The sequence below is a fragment of the Homo sapiens genome, chromosome 14 (assembly GCF_000001405.40).
Source record: "Homo sapiens chromosome 14, GRCh38.p14 Primary Assembly".
Taxonomy (NCBI): domain Eukaryota; kingdom Metazoa; phylum Chordata; class Mammalia; order Primates; family Hominidae; genus Homo; species Homo sapiens.
This window is the reverse complement of record NC_000014.9, coordinates 94,670,183-94,682,244: the sequence shown is the minus strand read 5'-3', so window position 1 is coordinate 94,682,244 and position 12,062 is coordinate 94,670,183. Positions and strand designations below refer to the sequence as shown.

Sequence of the window (12,062 nt, the reverse complement as noted above, 5' to 3'; positions counted from 1 at the left end):
AACAGCTTCTTGAATGCCTAAGTCTCAGTGCTCCCCATTCCCGGCGTTTCCCTAACACCGGGAGAGCCTTCTCGGCCGCTGCCTCCTTGTTTGGCGTGTGAACTGGTATTGAATGTTCTCAGAATCCAGATGGCTCATAGGGGTTTCGAGCACTGCTCCTGCTGGGGCTGAGGCGACACTGAGAGGGGGGCCTTGGCCTCCCCTGTGGCCGGGCCTGCTCCCTGAGACCTGCGTCCCAAGGATTGCATTGCCAGCATGTGGGAGTGTTAGTGATGCCTGGGGCAGCCGCTCGCCCTGACCCGCCGTGTCCCAGTGACTGAGGGAGCCAGGTTGCTCTCTGGGTCTGGATGTGGCCCCCAGACCCAGTTTGTCCACCCCTGGCCTAGGTCGCGAGCATCTGTCCTTTTCCTTCCTAGCATCTCCGGTTCTGCTTCTTTTGGGCAAACAAGTATCCCCCTAGGGAACTACCCTTCCCCTCTTTTTAAGTATACGGAGTCCATGGGCTTCACTTGCCTGCTTGGCTCCAGTTGATCAGCGTGCTCTGCTCTCCTCCACACCCCTCTGCTGGTAATTGGTTTAGCAATGGACACCTGACCCAATGGGTGCCAGTGAGAGTTGGGAACTTCGTTCAGTGCTTGGCAGAAGGAGGCAGTCTTTCTTGCCCTGAGGCTGTAAGATGTGGAACTCACGCAGCCATTTGACTTCCTGAGAGGAAACCCTGGAACTGCCAGTGAGTGGCCACTGTGTGGCACCAGAGGTGCAAGGCAGAGAGAAGAATGGATGACGCCTTCTATCTGATGATGTCATTTGAGCCCCTGGATCAAGCCTCACCTGAAGCCTGAGGATCTTTGGACTTTTCAGTTATGTGAGCCAATAAATTCCCCTTATAGTTTAAGCTATTTGACCTGGGTTTTCTATCATTCATGGCCTCGCCTCTTAACTGATATATCATCCTTATGCTCTCTTGGGGCTGGTGCAGACCCGCCCTGCTGTATGATGATGGCAAGGGGCTCTGTAGGTTTGAGATACTTTGCAGTTGCTTCCTCAATGGTGTCTCCAGCCTCCAAGCCTCCAACACACCCTGCTTTCCTGGGCAGCCTACACATGGGCCCCTCCTGAGTCCCTGGGCCCTAAGCCAAAGCTCTGGTTTTTGCCTCCAACCAGGATTGAGCTTTGCCATGAGTGTTGGGAAGCCTGGATCCTCCAGCCTGTGAGCTCTAAATTCTGCAGCGGAAACATCTGGGCCCTCCGCTGGCCCCAGGGTGCACACCACTACGTCTGCCATAAGTCACGACAGCATGTCGAGGGTTTTATTGCAGTTATGAATTATGGATATGGCCTGGGCTGTGCACTTCTCATTATTTTTTTCCTGCTGCAATTAAGCCACAAATCATACTTAAGAAATGGAAGGGTGACCGAATTAGTCAGGATTCGTTCATAATAGGCTGACCCTGGAAAAGTCATCCAGGAGAGGTCAGATGTTTGCCAGGTCCCAAGAGCACAAACTGGGAGACAAACAGTGTCTCCTCGCCCAGGTTGCCAGGTTAATGGACTTTGTGCATCTGAGAGGTTCCCGCTGTGTAGCCGCACAATTAACCCACTCGGTACCTTTATCCAGCCTCAGCCAGAAAGCAGAGAGACCCTAAGGAGACTGGATGAGGACTGAGGCTAACTTGGTCCTGCTTCCTGGACCGATCGATAGCTGTCAGGCTGAGGATCAGCTTTTTGATTTTGTGAGTGAGTAGATCTGAGGAATGAATGGACCAGTCCCAAGAGCTGAGACTCTGGGATAAAAGCATTTCTACCCTGCTGGAGTGAGTAGGTCTTTCCCATTTTTAAATTAACTTTTTATTAAAGTATAATATGTACATAGAAAAAGTGCACATCTGATGACTTTTCAGTCTGTGTAACTGGCAATCAGATCGATGCGAGAGCTCGCTGCTAGGGAGAAGAGGGAGACAGGCTTTCAGCCCTGAGGGGCTCACATGGGGTCAAAGGATGCATAAATAGTGCTAACCCAAACGAAGCCAGGGTGCGGACGCACAAGCACGCTACCCTGTAGGCAGGACACACCCACACTGTCATCCCCTGCTGAGCATCTGGACCTAGCTCTTGCATCCTGGGACCCGGCTGAACTTCCTGGCCCCCTGGCAGTTGTGTAGGTCAGGTGACCTGATCTGGCCAATCAGTGTGAGTGGGTACAACCCGGGTCACTTCTCGGGGAAAGACTTAATGGCTGGTCTGAGACTCTCCAAAGCTCTTTCTCCCTCTGCAATGGTAATCAGCAATGGTTGAAAAGGAGGCCACGGATGGGGGAAAATGTGGAGCAGAGCCCTTGGCTGGCCTCAGGGGACAGACGAATGAGCACTGTTTTCTTTTAAACCTCTGGGATTTTAGGGTTGTTCGCGTGGCAGAACCACGCATGTTTCTACTGACACACATCCTAGTTCTGCTCACCCTTGGGAACGTGTTTTCTGATAACTGTGATATTAGCTGGTACCCAAGGCTGGTCTTTGGGAGCAATAACTCATTGCATTTAGCAATTGCTGAAATCAATAAGATAAGTGGCAGCTGGTATCTTTATCTTCCAGCCACCGCAGTAAACATGCTGATGATCTACAATGCATCATCTCTGAGCCTGCCCCTCCCCATTCCCATGACCTAGCCAGTGATGCTGTCTCTTAGATCTGTTTCCTCTTCTCAATTCTTCGTCCCCACAGCCACTGCCTGGGGTGAGGCCTTGCTGAGGACTAACCTAGATGTTGCAGTGGCCAAGGTGGCCTCTGCCTCCAGCCTTGCCCTGACACCTGCCCTCAGTCCCTCCCCCACATCACATCTTCCTAAAACACAAATCTGACCATGGCTACCCCACTCCACTTCCCTCCTTAAGATCCTCTTATGACCGTCTGGGCTTACCACAGATGGTAAGTGAGGCCGCGCACCCCTGTGGTAACACAGACTGACTCTAAGGCCAGACAGTCTGTGTTTAATCTGAGCTCCACCGCGTGTCACCTGTGTGTAATTGAGAAAGTTACCCTCTCTGTGTCTCTGCTCCTTCATTTATAAAAGTGAGGCTAATACTAATAATAATGGATAATAATGACACCTACCTCATAGGCCATGGTGAATATTAAATGCGTCAGTTAGTTAAGGCGCTTAAACAGTGTGTTCCAGTTATCTATTGTTGCAACTATAAAATACCCCAAAACATAGTGGTTTAAAACAATGACAATTATTTTATTATTGTCCTTCACATTTCTGGGGATCGATGGGGCTCATCTGGGCAGTTCTCATTTGGTGTCTCTTGGGTTTAGTCAGAAGGTGGCTGGGGCTAGACTCATTCCTGAGCTTCCTTGCTTATCTGCCTGACAGATGATGCTGACTGTGTACTGGGGTCTGAGCTGAGTGTCCAGACCGTAACACCCATACTTGGCCCAGACTCACTCAGCTGCAGCACCCATGCTTGACCAAGTCTTCCTTCCAGCATGGTGGCTGGGCTCTAAGACTGAGTCCCAAGAGAACCAGGCAGAAGTTGCATCCACTTTTAGGACCTAGCTTTGGAAGTCACATAGCGTCACTTTCACAGTAGCTACGGATTCACAGCCCTCTTGATGCAGGGGCTGTCAAGGTCACGTTGTAACAAGAGCCTGTGTGATGGAAGATTCTATTGCGGCCACCTTGGATAATACAACCTGTGGCACAGTGCCTGACAAGTGACAAGTGCTCAGTGAACGGTAGGGGTATTATTGTTGTTTTTTTAGAAATGCAATCTGCATTTGAAAGCTCAGCAGTGTGTGAAAGAGTTAAAGACAGAACAGCTGGGTGTAGGAAGGGCGTGCAGAAGCCCCCACTTCAGCCCTCAGGAAGCTCCATGAAATTGTCAGGTCTCTGCGGCACCCAACGGAAAGCCACTGGGCTCCAGGGTCAAGTCCAGATTCCTAGGGCTGCATACGGATGCTGGCACTTGGCTCCTGTCTGCGTCTCTAGCTCCAACTCTTGTTATATCCCCACTATACCAATCAGAATTCTTGGTTACAAGCAATAAAACCCACTCTTGTGAGTTTAGAGAGAAAAGGAGATTATTAAAGGGTGTTAGCGGCTCTCAGACCCTTCAGGAGAGCCAGGGGTGCAGGCTTGGAGTCTCCTGGGTAGGAGCAGTGGCCACATTCCAGGCCAGTGGAGGGTCTGGTGCCTCTGCTGCTAAACAGGACGGGAGGCTGGTGTGGGCGATGGTGGACATGGCGGTTTACCCCTGGGATTGCAGCCACCCTTGTAGGAGGGAGCCTGCAGGGCTAGTCCAAGAGCCGCCTCTGTCATCACACCACTGGCTTCCAAAATGAAGCCTCCCTCGGCTGAATCTGATTGGTGGACCTAAGGTCACATGGCTGTACCTTAGCTGTAGGGGAAGCAGGGAAAGAGCTGCCGGTTTCTACCTTGGAAGGCTGGGGTTCCTAAGAGGGGAAACCTGAAATACAGGAAGTGTGTGCAAAGGCTCTGGGAAGTTAGGGAGCCACACACAAATGTCCTCCGTTTCCACGTTGGTCCCTTTCTTGTCCCATGAAAGTTCTAACATCTCTTCACTGGCCTGGCTCCCTCTCGTGGCTCCTTCTTGGCCTTGTTTCCTGGTAATCTCGGGTCTTCTTCCCTCCTCAAAGCTCTGCCTGCTTCCTCCTCCTGCCTCTCCTGTGTTTGCATCCCACCATCCCTATACAGACCTCCATCCCAGCATCCACAAAAGCCACCTGCTCTTATGCATTTTCATGTCTGTCCTTCCCCCAAACTGAGCCTCTAGGGCAGGCTACATCTTTTCCCTCTCTGAGTCCAGCATGCATAGCCAGGAGCTGGCGCACAGTAGGTGCTCTGTGCATGTGGGCGGAGGAATGAATGGTGAAGTCCACATCACAAGGTCTTGTGCTCCCACCTCAAAGCCGGGGACATGGAAGCACTCACTAGATGTGAAATCTGAGGCTTCTAAGTGAGCCCACATTTATGATGCTGATGTTCTTTTCAGTCTCCACAGAAAACAGTATTCCAGGAGCTCTTTCCACCTAGGATAATACTTGGGGCTCAAACCAAAAGGAAATACCCTGAAAGGAAATGGCAGCTGCTTCCTGGCTCAATAATGGTCTCTCGATTGAGGGATGACCCTGCTTTTCTGGCTAAACACATTTTCCTCCTGAAGGGTCAGGGAGTAGGTAAGAGGTTCAGGCTCATCTGGTTTCCTCTTGATTCCTTCTGATGTCTCAAAGAGAAGGGCCATGCTGTTGGCAGGAACTAGGAGTGAATCTGGCACTCCATGAGTGATTACAAGTGAGGCCTTGGATATTTGCATAATGAACCCAGAGTGCTTTCCACGAAGCTGTCAGGCAGTTTCTCCAGTCGACACAGTCTTCACATTTAATGGCAGATGACAGTGTTTATATAAAACAAAGGAGAACAAGGAAGGTATATGGACGCCCCCTCCCTGAAATCTGTCTCCCTTTCATTCCTTAGCTTCCATCTCCTTTAGCCTTCACTGCTGGGCACTGGGGTGGGCCAGGCAGGACTGAATTTGGGTTGATGCAGCAGATGTTCATGGACTCCAGAGGCCAGTGATGCCTGCAAGCAGGAGACAGGCCTAGAGGACAAAGGTTGGCCTTAAAGGTGGGGAAGAGGTGGGGTATGTGTGTGTATACAGATGCAGTTATTACTTGTCCTGTAATTACTCCAGTGATGCCTGTCTACACCCTCATCTCAAAAAGTACCCCCTAGGCTAGGCACAGTGGCTGATGCCTATAATCCCAGCACTTTGGGAAGCCGAGGCGGGTAGATTACCTGAGGTCAGGAGTTCGAGACCAGCCTGGCCAACATGGTGAAACCCCGTCTTTACGAAAAAATACAAAAATTTCCCGGGTGTGGTGGCAGGCACCTGTAATCTCAGCTACTCAGGAGGCCGAGGCAGGGAGAATTGCTTGATCTTGGGAGGTGGAGGTTGCAGTGAGCCGAGATTGCACCACTGCACCTCCAGCCTGGGTGAGAGAGCGAGACTCCATCTCAAAAAAAGTACCCCCGAATACAAGAACACCTAGAATTTAAAAAAAGCAATAGATACCTTTCAGTATCCCTTCCCCACTTTCTCAGTCCTTCCCACAAACCACCGTCGACATTTTAGTGGTTATTTTACAAGACTTCTCTCCATGCCTTTATGCTCTTCTATGAACAGGGCTGCAGGTTTTCACAGATGGGACTCGAGGATTCCATCCTAAAGCATCTGGATTTGCCCTCCCCTTGTCTCTATTACCCCAGTGATGCTCTACTTTTTCCCCATCCCTGAGCTCTGTCTCCACCAGGTCCCATGGCTTAGCTTTTTCTAGTCACTCTTGGATAATAAAAAGTCCTCTGCCTACTAATAGTTAATGTATATGTATATGGTGGTATGGTGAAGGGGTTTCTCTGGATGGATACAGGAATAAGAATGTGAATCAGAGATCGTGGCTGCCTAACTGTCTGCAAGTCTTCATGGTGAGTGTTCGCTAGAGACAGGCTTTGCATTTTGAAAAAAAATGGAAGATTCAGCAAAGTTACAAGAAATTGCCATGGAAGGAAAAGAAGTCTCCAATGTCACAGGAATCTCAATTCGCAGGTCGATGCCCCAGATCATTTGAAACATCGCTATTTAACTGAAGAGGAGAGATTCAGGAAGCAGCTCTGAAAAGTTGACCAGCCTTTGCCTGAAGAAGAGTGTAGCATGATCAGGTTTGCTTGAAGGTTGGTGTCACTGTGACCAGCCTCAGCCAGAACAATGCAGAACAACAGTGAACTCCTTTACCATCCCAAAGAAAAGTTCAAACATCAAATCAGAGAACCACAGAAGAAGAGGAACAGGTACAAGCTAAGCGTGCTAAGAAATAAGAATGTGAGAGGAGGAAGCAGGAGGGAGAAGCTCAAAGGCCCTACAAAAAGAAAAAGATGGGAATGCTTAAAGTATGGAGCCCAAGGCTGAGTGTAGCGGCCCACGCCTGTAGTGACAGTACGTTGAGAGGCCGAGGAGGGCAGATCACTTGAGGCTGGGAGTCCGACACCAGCCTTGTCAACATGGCAAAACCGCATCTCTACTAAAAAAAAAACAATTATAATACAAAAATTACCTGGGTGTGGTGGCACACACCTGTAGTTCCAGCTACTTGGGAGGCTGAGGCACAAGAATCACTTGAACCTGGGAGGCGGAGGTCGCAATGAGCCGAGATGGTGCCACCGAACTCCAGCCTGGGTGAAGGAAAAAAAAAAAGAGAGAGAGAGAGAGAAAATGAAGCAAAGAGACTAAAAAGGGCCAACCAAATTTGAATTTACAAATGGAGTATCTTCTTCAAAAAATAGAAGAAAAAAGTTAAATTAGACATTGTTCTTACAGGTGAAAATATCTGCTGTCTCTTGGATTTTTTTGTGTACACAACAGGTGCCTCCCAACAAAGAGCTAAATTTGTCAACATAACTGCATTGCTAACTCTACTAAATAGAAAGTGCGCAAATATTTTTGTTCTGGTAAAAAAAAAAGCTTTTTCTTTCCTTTTTTAAATTTTATATTTTACATTTTTAATTAAAATTTGTTTTTCTTTTCCTTTTATTTTGTTTTTTAGGGATGGAGTCTTGCCATATTGCCCAGGCTGGTCTCGAACTCCTGGACTCAAGCAATTCTCTCGCCTTGGCCCTCCCAAAGTGCTGGGATTACAGGCGTGAACCACCATGCCTAGCCGAAAAGAAAATTTTCTATATATGTTTCAAAAAATATTATGTGCAGGGTATGTATGAAAGCAGATTGCTGCTGGGGGTTAAAAACAAGTAAATGTTGAGATTTAACACTATGTTGTTACTTAAAGGAAATTTTGCCTACTTTAAAAGACAAAACAGGTGAGTTTTTTTTGTTTTAAACTTTCAACAGCCAACTATGAGATTCTATACATATTTCCTACATAAACTAAATGTTGTTGGGATGGCTCATAAATAAAAGAGGATATGAATGAACTTAAAAAAATCCTTTGTTTAGTCCAGTGTCATAATGAAAACATTGAATTCCAGCCAAAGATAAACTTTTCTTTCACTCCTCTGGTGGGGGTGGGCCGGCCTGCTGCTTGTCTTTACTCCCAGCGCCTCCCCTCTGCTCACCAGGCATCCTTCCTGCTGTTCTAGGGTGTGGAAAAGCTCTGCCTGAGAGCACTCGAGGTCGGTCTGGGCTTGGCGATGTTCACGTGCACCCTTCTTGCAGGTTTCTTAGCAATCCCCGCACCTGAAACCTCCAGGACTTGCCTGTACCCTCCGCCTTCGGGCTCTGTCAGCCTGTGGTCCTGGGACATTCCATCCCTCCAGGTGCCTCTGTGCAAAGTCCCTTTCCAAGAGACCCCAAGCCAGCTCCTCTGGTGGAAGCTAAGTTAGTGGGGGCACAGCTTCGTGCTTCCGACCACTCTCAGTGGAAAGACCGCTCAAGCCCTGTCCAGCCCTTCTTCCTCCTGGACACTTCTGCTGTCTGACACTTCAGGCTGGCAGCTGCCCTCTTGCCTTCAGGTTTCCCCAGGCATGAGGCTGACACCCACCAGCCTTTGTGTGCACGGACACCAAGGGACACAGCTCTCCCAGGGTTACCAAGGCCCCCTCCCAGGGCTTGGGGTAAGGAGGGAGGATAGTTCCTTCATAGGGGCAGGGAATACCTTAGTAGTCCAACAGTTGTCCCCAAGAGGTCCCCTCTCTCTTTGTCTCTTCTATTCAGTTAGATAGAATAGGCTGAGGGTCACCAAATGGGTTTTCTTGCACCATCTTTACAACTCCTGCATCAGTAGTCCAGCATCTCATCTCAGAATATGGGGAGATTTAGGGGCCTACTGTTTTACTATTGGCCCCTGGGGGGCTTCAGTGGACATTTGACACAGTCCCGTTTTAACCTCCTGAACATGGAGGTTAGGAGCTACGTGGCTTGTCCCGTGCACCCACTGGGTACACCAGGGCAAGCACCCCCACCACACCTGCCCTTAGCAAAGCGAGCTCACTCATCTCGCTTGATGCTCCCGATCAATGTGTGGGGCATATGGGGACAGTTCATTTGGTCCTCATTTTACAGATGAGGATACTGAGGCTAGGAGAGTCAAGGAATTTACTCACGCACAATGGCTTGACTTGGACTCTGGTTCTCTGACTCCACATGCCTGTTAATGAACATTCATACAGGGCTCATTAGCATCCCCCCTTTTTTTTTTGAGACAGGGTTTCACTCATATCGCCCAGGCTGGAGTGCATTGGTGCAATCTTGGCTCACTGAGTCTCAACTTCCTGGGCTTAGGTGATCCTTCTGTCTCAGCCTCTGGAGTAGCTGGCACTGCAGGTGCATGTCACCACACCTGGCTAATTTTTTTTATTTTTAGTAGAGACAGGGTTTCCTTATGTTGCCCAGGCTGATCTCGAACTCTTGGGCTCAAGCCATCCACCTGCCTCAGCCTCCCGAAGTGCTAGGGTTACAGCAGTGAGCCACCATGCCAGCCAATGCCATTTTATGCCTTCTGTTTCCCAGGAGTTTCCATTGGATTTAGGACAGGACTCTTGGCAGGAATTATCATTGGTACCAGAAGTGCCTTATCTGAGCTCTGTTAGCTGAGGCTCCGCTAAATCCTTGTTCTTTTGCAGTGGCACGAAGATATCAATAATTTAATTTATGCTAAACTGCAGAAACTTTAATGAACATGCATTTCAGTAGAGGAATTCAATAGGACATTGCTTAACCAAAAGGCACTTGGAGGCACTGAGGGGCTGCAGATGAACAAGACCCAGTCTTTGTCTTGGAGGAGGACTCTGTGTGACTGATCCTCCCTGAATCCCCTGAAGCAGGGAACCAGGTCCCAGGTTTACAGCTGAAGAGACTTGGGTCAAGAGGGGGTCAGTGCTGAGCACCTTTGATCTGAATTAAGTGCTGAAGTCCAGCAACAATTCAGGCGCAGGGCTGGGAGGTGGATCCAGTTCTTTCTGCCTGTCCACCCCGGGAGCTCAGAGCCCAGTGCTGAGTGCTGGGGCCGCTCACCCGACATCAGACTGTCCCGCCCCAATTCACATTACACCCTGAAGACAGCAGAAAAGAGAGACGGAAGAAATGGGTGTCATGTTGGCAGGGGTGGCCCAGCCCTAGCTGGGGGTATGAGAAAAAGATGTCACTGTCACTCATCTCTCACCAGGGAAAGAGCCCAGATCCCTCTCCTGGCCTCTGTATGAAGACAGACTGAACTGAAGAGGGCTTTGCTTGGGGCTGGGGCTTTGTTCCCTGTGTGACTGTGGCCACCACCAGGTGGCCACAGGGCTTATTGTACAGCTTTGTATCTAGCCATAGGACATACACATACACGCATCCTCCAGGCCTCTCTGGGGCTGGCTCTGACCAACTGCCTTCTTTCCCCCTCCCCTTTCTTCAAAACAAAACAAAACAAAACAAAACAAAAAAGCCCCTTGCATTGCTTTTTAAATTCAGATTCCCTAAAACTCGAGGCTCAGAATGTTTACAAAACTGACACATCCGATGAACTAAGGCTTTAGGAAGCAAATCTTTCTGACAGTGACGGGCTCTGGGCATTAAAAGAGCCTCTTTGGCCAGGCGTGGTGGCTCACTCCTGTAATCCCAGCACTTTTGGGAGGCCGAGGCAGGTGGATCACCTGAGGTCAGGAATTCAAGACCAGCTTGGCCAACATGGTGAAATCCCGTCTCTATTAAAAATACAAAAATCAGCCGCGAGTAGTGGCGAACGCCTGTAATTCCAGCTACTTGGGAGGCTGAGGCACGAGAATCGCTTGAACCTGGGAAGTGAAGGTTGCAGTGAACCAAGATCAAGCCACTGCACTGCAGCCTGGGGGACAGAGTGAGACTCTGTCTCAAAAATATCAATCAATAAATAAATAGGCTCTTTAAGGTAATCGTGCCTGGGCAGGGCCTTGCCTCCAAAAGCTCCCAAATTCCTTGGGCATCAGATTGTCCTTATGAGAGTGTGAGTCCTGAAGCTGGAGGTCACACCGGTCCAGCTCCAGGCCCCGCAGAGCAATGTCCATGAGGGGGGCCAGGCACGTCCCCCCTGTCTCCCTCTGCTGGACCTTCATAGCAGGGGCACTACTGCACGTGCTGGCCCTGCCTGGCCACATTTTCCCCGGGTATCTACAGAGCACCCTCTAGGTCTTGGAGAAATGTCACCTTCTCCAACCACCTCCACCATCCCTCTCCCCTCATTCCCTGTCCCTCCCCCGCGCCCCTGCTATGGTTTCTTCATGACAGTCATCTCCATCTGATGCACTGTCTTGTCCTTCCCCTTCATGGTTCTCTTTGCTGCTTGTCACGCCCCACTAGGAGGCAAACACCCTAGAGGCAGAGAGAGGTGTTTGGCTGCTTTGCTCACTGCGGTATCCCCAGCTCCTAGGAAATTCCTGTTTTGCAGTAGGAGCTCATCAAAGACCAAAAAGTAAAGAAATGTATGCTATTCCAAGCCCCATAGATTTTCAGCTTTCTTGTGTCACCAGCCTCAGTGGCCGCAGAATTCCATCTTCTCCCACGTGTCTCCTATCTGATGTCCCAGGTGTAGATTCTCGGTGATGAGCACCTCCTCCCTGTTTGAGACAGGCTCTTTCTTTAAAACTGTGGACTTTAAAACGTTCTGTGTTACTTTCCCTTTAATTTTTTTTTTTTTTTGAGATGGAATTTTGCTCTTGTTGCCCAGGCTGGGTGCAATGGTGCGATCTTGGCTCACTGCAACCTCTGCCTCCCAGCTTCAAGAGATTCTCCTGTCTCAGCCTCCCGAGTAGCTGGGACTGGTCTCGAACTCCTGATCTTAGGTGATCCATCCACCTGGGCCTCCCAAAGTGCTGGGATTACAGGCATGAGACACCACATGTGACCATCCTATTGGTTTATTAAACAAATTCCTACAAGTGTAACAGTCAATGAAAGAAAAAACTTTAAATTTTGACAAATATTGTAAAAATTGGCCCCAAGGTCATATCCATTTACATACCCACCCAAAGTTTCTGCAGATGCCTGTTTTCCCATACCCTTTACCACATAACATACT

The 12,062-nt window shown here is 49.3% G+C and overlaps 1 pseudogene, besides 3 other annotated features; it reads left to right on the top strand.

The window, feature by feature from the left end:
* Positions 204 to 752: an enhancer, noted in NCBI's record as "H3K27ac-H3K4me1 hESC enhancer chr14:95147830-95148378 (GRCh37/hg19 assembly coordinates)". NCBI's record gives its function as "activates a minimal SCP1, AML or CMV promoter by ChIP-STARR-seq in naive H9 embryonic stem cells {active_cell/tissue: H9 hESC(naive)}" and the evidence as "EXISTENCE:reporter gene assay evidence [ECO:0000049][PMID:30033119]".
* Positions 6,418 to 6,968, top strand: LOC100288028 (coiled-coil domain containing 59 pseudogene; annotated as a pseudogene).
* Positions 7,772 to 8,285: an enhancer, noted in NCBI's record as "H3K4me1 hESC enhancer chr14:95140297-95140810 (GRCh37/hg19 assembly coordinates)". NCBI's record gives its function as "activates a minimal SCP1, AML or CMV promoter by ChIP-STARR-seq in naive and primed H9 embryonic stem cells {active_cell/tissue: H9 hESC(naive and primed)}" and the evidence as "EXISTENCE:reporter gene assay evidence [ECO:0000049][PMID:30033119]".
* Positions 8,286 to 8,801: an enhancer, noted in NCBI's record as "H3K4me1 hESC enhancer chr14:95139781-95140296 (GRCh37/hg19 assembly coordinates)". NCBI's record gives its function as "activates a minimal SCP1, AML or CMV promoter by ChIP-STARR-seq in naive and primed H9 embryonic stem cells {active_cell/tissue: H9 hESC(naive and primed)}" and the evidence as "EXISTENCE:reporter gene assay evidence [ECO:0000049][PMID:30033119]".